Consider the following 8,262-nt stretch of genomic DNA (forward strand, 5'->3'; position numbering starts at 1 on the left):
CTGATCTTCATTAACAACTATTCCTTTCTTATAAACAGAAGGGATAGAGAGGCAAAGCAGTCTGACTTCTTCCAAATCTTATGCTTCTCACTCCAATTTCTCTCTCTCTCTGTTTTTGGTATGGTAGCCAGTTAACTTTTTAATGGATTTGTTAACTGTCGGTTAAGAGGGCAATTACATTTTGGAATCTTCACTTTATGAGAATTCCAAGGATTTGTAGGACTGTCTGTGATAAGTGACAATGTTTATTCTAAGGGAATGCTAAAGGAGCCTAAGTTCATTGGTGCGTATTTCACATTTTGTTTTGTTTCTTTGATTAATTGAAAACTCTTACAGGTCAAGCGGGCTTTTTAAAAAATGAAAGGTCTCATTCCAGGGAGAGGCCCATTGTATTTGTGAATGAATTAAAAGTTTATTGAAGAAAAGGGTAGAGTGTATTTCAATCACTGTTAATTGAAGTGGAGCTAATAAGCTAAGAAGTAAAACATTATTAAATTCCCAGGTATGTTTTACAGGATATGCCAATATCTTGAATATCTTTTTCTTGGTAATTCCAAAGGTCGGAGGTTTTGTTTATTTGTTTGTTTTTACTAAGTATTTTACTATATAAACTTTTTCCTAGAAAAGCTTTCATAGTCGTAGGGTTTCAAAATATTAATCAATTTAGTAAAAGATCTGGTCAAACTTTGAACATCCACATTTAGTTCAGTAAAGTAGTCATATTTTATGCAATTCTTTCTCAGATGAATAATTTTACTTTTACTAGATATGTAATTTATGTAAAATCATAAAGTTCAGGGGAATGAAATTGCTAAAATGAAGAACTGACTTGCTGTAATGTGTGATAAACTTCTTCTTTGTTTCCATTATTTTTAGTTTGGTTTGGTTTTCTAAGAATTTGCACCCTTAATTTTGGAATTCATTATTTCAAACTTCAATAATCCTGAAAAGGAAAACTCATATTATGGAATTCTTTATGATTTTAATGTGATCATTCCCTTTTACCTAGAAAAGGACAAGAATTTGCCCCTAACTCAGCTAAGTTTATGAAAAAGCTTGAAAAATGGCAAATGTTTTATATAGGCAAAGATATCCACAGTGGCATGACCTTTCCTGCCTTCAAGTTTTATTATTTGAAATGTTCATGCCACTCCTCTAGAAATGCTAACCTTATTTGTCTAAGACTCTTCATTTTTTTTTTTAGGCAAAAGGAGGGAAGTAATTTGCAAGGAGTTTAGCGTTGTGATAATGTACAGGGGTTCATGCTTTAGTGAGAGTTCAGAAATGAATTACAAATAAAGGCAGTTTAGTTTTCTGATCTCTAGAAATGGAGAGGAAGTTCATGGTTTATGAAAGAGAGAAGCAATAATGTGTTTACCTTGTAAGACAGTGAACTGCAGCAGGGAATGAAAATATATACATATGAAAAGGTTAAGACAGTTGTAGTAAAACAACTTAAACAACAAATTTCATGAAGATGAAATGTGAGAGAACATTGAACATTCTCCCTCTTAGTGTTTGGTTCTTAAATACAATTCTAAGACATGTTCTCTTAGGCTTTGTGTTTCATTCTTGCCTCTGTTGCTGATACTAAATGATCAAAAATAAATGTTTGGATGGATTTTGCCTATTCACAATCTCTTGATTGCTCTCGGGATTTAGGAAAGATAAAGTGTGTGGTGTGACAAACACACACCACAAATCCGTACATTTTCAAAAATAACACTGAGATTCAAATGTTGTTCCTCTGCTTTTTTATCTGAAACTGAGAGGTTTACTCCTATTTCCAAAAGATCTTTTAAACTAGATAAGAGTTTTCAACTATCACTTTCCTTTTCCGCCAGCCATATTTATCTCTTCATCTTTCAATAAGGTCCTCATATGTTAATTTTGGCCTTCCTCTAGTCAAGCGTCCTGTTATGGCATCAGATAGAAAGAATAATGTGGAAAAGAGGACAGTAAACAGATGGAAATGTCAACAGATAGGAAGGATTGGAAACAAGAGGTTAAGGCAATGCTATACTACAAAGGTGTGGAAAAAGTGGAAGAATCTGGGAAGATTCATTATATTAGGCCTGTAAAACATTTGAGATTTTTCAGAGGAGTGCTGAGAAAGGAGAAAAGTAGTCAACAAAGCAAAAAATAGAACGGGAGGAGCTCTGCGATTTGGGGCTATATCCAAAGGCCAGCTGCAGATTTGAAACAGGTGTGATGGATACCCCATTTACCCTGATGTGATTATTAAGCATTATATGCCTGTATCAAAATATCTCACGTACCCCGTAAATGTATACACCTATTATACACCCACAAAAATTCAAAAATTAAAAAAAAAAAGCTTAGGTGCCCCAGGGCACACTTTGCCTTATGACACTTTTTGGTTGTTTGAAAACACGGGGCTTAACAAGATGGTGAAAGGGGGGTCCTCGGGGAAGAAGATATTTTTCTTCTTCCCAGGACTAGCAGTCTGAATTTTGGGACCCCTCTGGATCCTCCCTTCAAATCATCCTAAGGCCTCTTTTTCGACTGTGAGTCAAAATCTGGGGGGGCGCAAGGAGATTGATTGAGTATATCTCCTCAGTTACCGAGGTTTTGTTAAGATCTTTCTGACGCTTCCAGAATGATTCCAGAAAGCATGCTCTAAATTCAGCAGGCTGACCATATCTCCTTGTTTGTTCCAAGCAGACATAGTTTGCACTCATTATCCCAGCACAATTCTTATTCTAGCATAATTAGCACATCTATCACTCAGAAATAGATGATAAATTCCAAGGTCATCCTAAAGTTTAGGCTCTGCAATCTCTAGAAGACCCAAAAATCTATCCGCGCTTTTGAATTTGGAGGAGTAGCTAGCCAGAGTAGCCAGCTCACAAGTTGGCAAAGGACATTAACTTCCTGAAGTCTCCCTGAAAGCTGGGGAGTGAAGACGACAATTGCTATGCTTGGCTCTGTGTCCCCACCCAAATTTCATGTTGACTTGTAATCCCCAATGTTGGGGGAGGGACCTGGTGGGAGGTGATTGGGTCATGGAGGTGGATTTCCCCCTTGCTGTTCTCCTGATAGTAAGTTCTCATGAGATCTGGTTGTTTAAAAGTGTGTAGCACTTCCCTCTTCACTCTCTCTCTCCCACTGACCATGTGAAGGTATGCTTGCTTCCCCTTTGCCTTCTGCCATGATTGTAAGTTTCCTGAGGCCTCCCCAGCCATGCTTCCTATACAGCCTGTGGAACAGTGAGCCAATTAAATTTCTTTTCTTTATAAATTACCCAGTCTAAGGTATTTATTATTTATTTATTTATTTATTTATTTATTTATTTATTTTGAGAAGGAGTCTCACTCTGTCACCCAGGCTGGAGTGCAGTGGCACGATCTCTTCTCACTGCAAGCTCCGCCTCCCAGGTTCACACCCAGCCTCAGCCTCCTGAGTAGCTGGGACTACAGGTGCCTGCCACCATGCCTGGCTAATTTTTTTGTATTTTTAGTAGAGATGAGGTTTCACTGTGTTAGCCAGGATGGTCTCGATCTCCTGACCTTGTGATCCGCCTGCCTCGGCCTCCCAAAGTGCTGGGATTACAGGCATGAGCCACCACACCCGGCCAGTCTCAGGTATAGCAATGTGAGAACAGGGTAATACAACAATCATTAGCTAAAATCATCCTGAGGTCTAAATATGCAGACATGACTGGCATATCTGGCTTCAGAAGAAAGGCAATAAATTTAACTCTTGGGTCAGGAATTCTCACATTTGGGGACATGCATTTTGTTTGTGGAGATTTTACAAACTACAATCCCTGGATTCCACCCTTAGAATGTATGACTCACTGAGTTCGGGCTGGGTCCCTGAAACCCTCTGGTATGAATACTTATGTTCACTTCTAATGGTGAATTAGTTCCTTAAGACATGCTAAATAATGTTAAGTTTCACTAGTATATTCATTCAACTTATCAAAAGAAAAAATAATTTAAATTGCCTTTTTAAATTAAATTAAATTTAGTTGTCTTTTTGACAACTCAGGGGGTTAGGGGTACCAACCCTGAACAATTGAAAATTTAAATATAACTTTTGATTTCCCAAATCTTAACTACTGATAGCCTACTAATGACACCTTACCAATAACAAATAGTTGATTAACACATATTTTGTACATTATATGTATTATAGACTGTATCCTTACAAGGAAGTAAGCTAGAGAAAAATAGAATGTTATTAATAAAATCATGAGGAAAAGAAAATATATTCACTTGTTCATTGAGTGGAAGTGGATCATCAAAAAGGTCTTCATCCTCATTGTCTTCACATTGAGTAGGTTGAGTGGGAGGAAGAAAAGGAGGGATTGGTCTTGCTGTCACAGGGGTGACAGAAGGAGAAAAAGTAAAGGAGGTGGAAGGGAAGGCAGGAGAGGCACGCATATGTGGTATAACTTTCATTGAAAAAAGAATCTGCACATGAGTGGACATGAGCAGTTTAAACCTGGGTTGTTCAAGAGTCGACTGTACAAGTAAAAAAACTAACAATAAAAAGCAAGCATGTTCTTCATCTTTCAGCCACTTTGGAAAAAGGCAACCCAATACAGCAATAAAACTATAGAAATCCATAATATAAACTTGTAGGAGGCTTATTTTAACAACAATTATCTTTTTCAAAACATTACTTTCATTATCATATTTGATTATAAAGCCAACTTATGATGCAGGAATTATTATAACCATTGAAAAAAATGAGGTTCAGAGAGTTTATGTCGTCAGCCCAAACTAGTAGATGGCTATTTTTTTAAACCTCAAATAAATTGTAGAAATACAGAAGAAAAACAAACAAACAAACAAACAAAAAAGAATCTACTACCAAAAACAATATCCTAATGGAATACAACTGCATATTTTTTATTTCCATGCAGAACTTCACAATAAACAACCAGAAGGATCTCAGATCCAGTTTTCTTGGCCAGTTGGTCTAGAATATTCTAAACATTAAGGTAAATTAAGCAAGTAGTTGAGGTACAGTTTTGTAAGCATGCTTTGCTTAGTGACTTGTTATAATTCAATAACTTTATAATCAAGAAAGTCTTCAGGGTCTAATGTCAGTTTCTCCCAATGCTATTAAAGTCTCCTTTCTTCTTATTAAATCTTTCAGCATGTCCCAACTCCAGGGCTCTAAGGATAACCCTTAAATAACCGAATATGATTGCTAGTAACTTGAATCTTTTCTTTCAGGGTCATAATCTTAAATCCTTTCATATTTTCAATTGATGTAACTTAAATTTCTAATCCTGGTGATGCTTTTCTCTGAAATACCTCAAATTCTCATATTGAGGCCGGGCATGGTGGCTCATGCCTGTAATTCCAGCACTTTCGGAGGCCGAGGTGGCCAGATCACAAGGTCAGGAGTTCCAGACCAGCCTGATCAACATAGTGAAACTCTGCCTCTACTAAAAATACAAAAAATTAGTCAAGTGTGGTGGCGGGTGCCTGTGATCCCAGCTACTTGGGAGGTGGAGACAGGAGAATGGCTTGAACCCGGGAGGTGGAGGTTGCAGTGAGCCGAGATCAAGCCATCACACTCCAGTCTGGGCAACAGTGTGAGACTCCATCTTAAAAAAAAAAAAAGAAAAGAAAAGAAAAAGAAAAAAAATCTGTGCCACAGTTAGTATCTTCTATGCTATTAATACTACACGTGCCCTCCCCCAAAACACTACTTATTTGGTGATCTTTCTGAATTTTCTTACTTCTCTTACTAGAAGACATAATTTTAGTTAAATTGGCACTCAGAGAATGATATGATGGTATAGGTGGTACTGCTTGAACACTTACTTCCTCTGTGTTGTAGGAAATTTTAATGATTTTACTCATTAAAGTACTTTTTTTATTTATTTTACTCAATAAAGTACTATTGTACTTTATTTTTTATAGGAAAAATACGTGATTTATTGATGTACTTATGTTGTTCTTTATAAACTAAAATTCTTTCAGTTTCTTCCTTTTTCTTTTCCAATTCTCCACCTCTCCTCCCAGTACACCTCACCCTATAGGTAAGATTCCAGTTTCCAGGAGAAGGGATAAAGCCAGCTAAATTAAATTTCACCTTTCACCTATTTCTGCTGTGATCTATAACACCCCACTTAAGGTATTCAAGATTTTTCATTAGCTAAAATATTTTCTTGTTTAGGAAGCTTTAGTAGAAATATAAAGAATTGAGTTTCTGTTTTTCCTTTTATCAACAAAATACCTATTAATCATTTTGATTGTATATGCACATGGCTCTATTAAAACTAGAAAGCATAATTACATAAAATTAAGTAAAATGTACCATACCTTTTTGATAAAATGAAAAATAAATTACATTTATCTTTTCTTTGCTAAATAAAATGTATTTTTGTAAGTTTTGACTACATTTGACAACACTTAAATGAGTAAGTTTTGACTAATGATTATATCCCTTGTATTTTCTCTTAATAATAATTTAAATTGTTTTTAATTAGCTGGGGCACGTGCAGTTTAAATTTTCTAATAGTCTAGGGATAGAACAACTCTTAACATATTTTTAAACATCGATAGTGTCAGTTTTCAAACCTGGATGTTATTCAAGTCCACTTCATGTTAACATATTTTTCTCTGTGGATAACAAATACAACAGAAAAATTTTGCCAGTGTAAATAGCCAATGGAATTATGAATAATCATGTTAATAATGTTAATAAAAAGGTACAGTTAAATGAGGGAGACAATTAGTTCACACCATTTTGGTTTATTTATTTAGCAGTGAGCATTGTATAACATGTCAATCCCGGGAAAAAGAAACAGACATAAAGGGGCTTAACATTACTAATAAAACAATCAGTATCAAAATATTTTATGTAACAATTTGTCCGTGTTCATATAATAATCTGTCAACTCTGTGATTTGCTTATTATGTGAATTAACTCCATAATCGCTCTGAGATTGAATTCAGTGACACCGTTTAACTGCTTCTGGTTTGGGGGCTTTTACTCGATATTTTTAGGTAAGGAGCTGTCAGGCTAATCTGAGGACATTTAGGGAAAGCCAATAAACTGTCACGAACTTAAAACAAGTGAGGTTTCTCGTGGTTTGGTCGAAATTTTAACACTTCTCCTCTCCTACCCTTCACCTCTTCTCCTCAAAACACTTTTTTTTCTTTTACAATAACTGTAAATGCCAGCTCTAAATTTCCCTCCAATCTGGGAAAGTCCAATCTCCCTTCCTCGAGAGGTGTCTGGGCGCAATACTCTCCGGCCCGAAGCAAGGGGACGTTTGCGAGGAGGGAGAAATTTAAACCCCCTTCGCTCCGCGCCACCTGGGAGCACTTTGGCGCCGCAGACTCAGGAGCCGACGCCATCTCCAGGACGGCCTCGGTGGCCTCGGCAGGAGGCACCTTCGGGGAGCGGTCCCGCACTCCTCCTTCCTCAGTCCCCGGTCCTCTGCACCGCTCCCTCTCTGCTGCCAGAGGACCTGTCCGCGAGCTCCCCGCGCTGCCCTGGGGACGGAAAAGTTTGTTTCTCCAACGCGCAACTTTCCCGCTCCAGGCGGCGGGGACCCCGAGCCGGAGTTTTGGCCAAAAAATCCCAGAGTCCTATACCTCCTGCGCGCCCAGACCTCGGGGGCGAAGGGCGGCTCCCCCGGCGCGCCCCGATCCCCGCCGCAAAGAGGACTTGGTGGACTAGAGGTGCACCCCGCGGGCAGCCCTTGGCGCCCCGCTCTGCGCCCGCCGGCATGAGGACTCGTGCGTGGCGTTTCGACCCTCCGCCTGAACTGAGACTGGGTGGGGAAAGGGGCAGACTGCTGTCTGTGACTCTGCGGGAGGTGGAGCACGAAACACAAAAGCTGTTTGAACCACAAACGCCAGGCTGGACACCCAACGAATATTAATGACCTGCAGCCTCCACCCACCCGCAAACATAATATTATGTGTACGTGCTTACCGGTTAGCTTAACAGACTTGCCATCATAAATTCCTTTTTCACTGCAGCGCCACTAGATTTGTTGTGATTAGGATGCAGCCACTAAATTTGTTGTGATCTCCTGTTTGTGAATGGAAGTTGACTTACATCTTTTGTAGCAGATTGCTACTTAGGATTTTTTTTTAAAAAATTATCGCAGATTTTTCAAATCAGAAAATTCCCAAATGACATAATCATACAAATTGATATTTTAACCGACTCTTTTTTGAGGAATGCATTCCAAAATCTTTCAGTTCCCATCATGCAAGACAAATAAGCATAGTAATTTGGAAAGTGAAATTAATGATCAAG

This window comes from Homo sapiens, chromosome 12 (genome assembly GCF_000001405.40).
Source record: "Homo sapiens chromosome 12, GRCh38.p14 Primary Assembly".
In the NCBI taxonomy this organism is placed as follows: domain Eukaryota; kingdom Metazoa; phylum Chordata; class Mammalia; order Primates; family Hominidae; genus Homo; species Homo sapiens.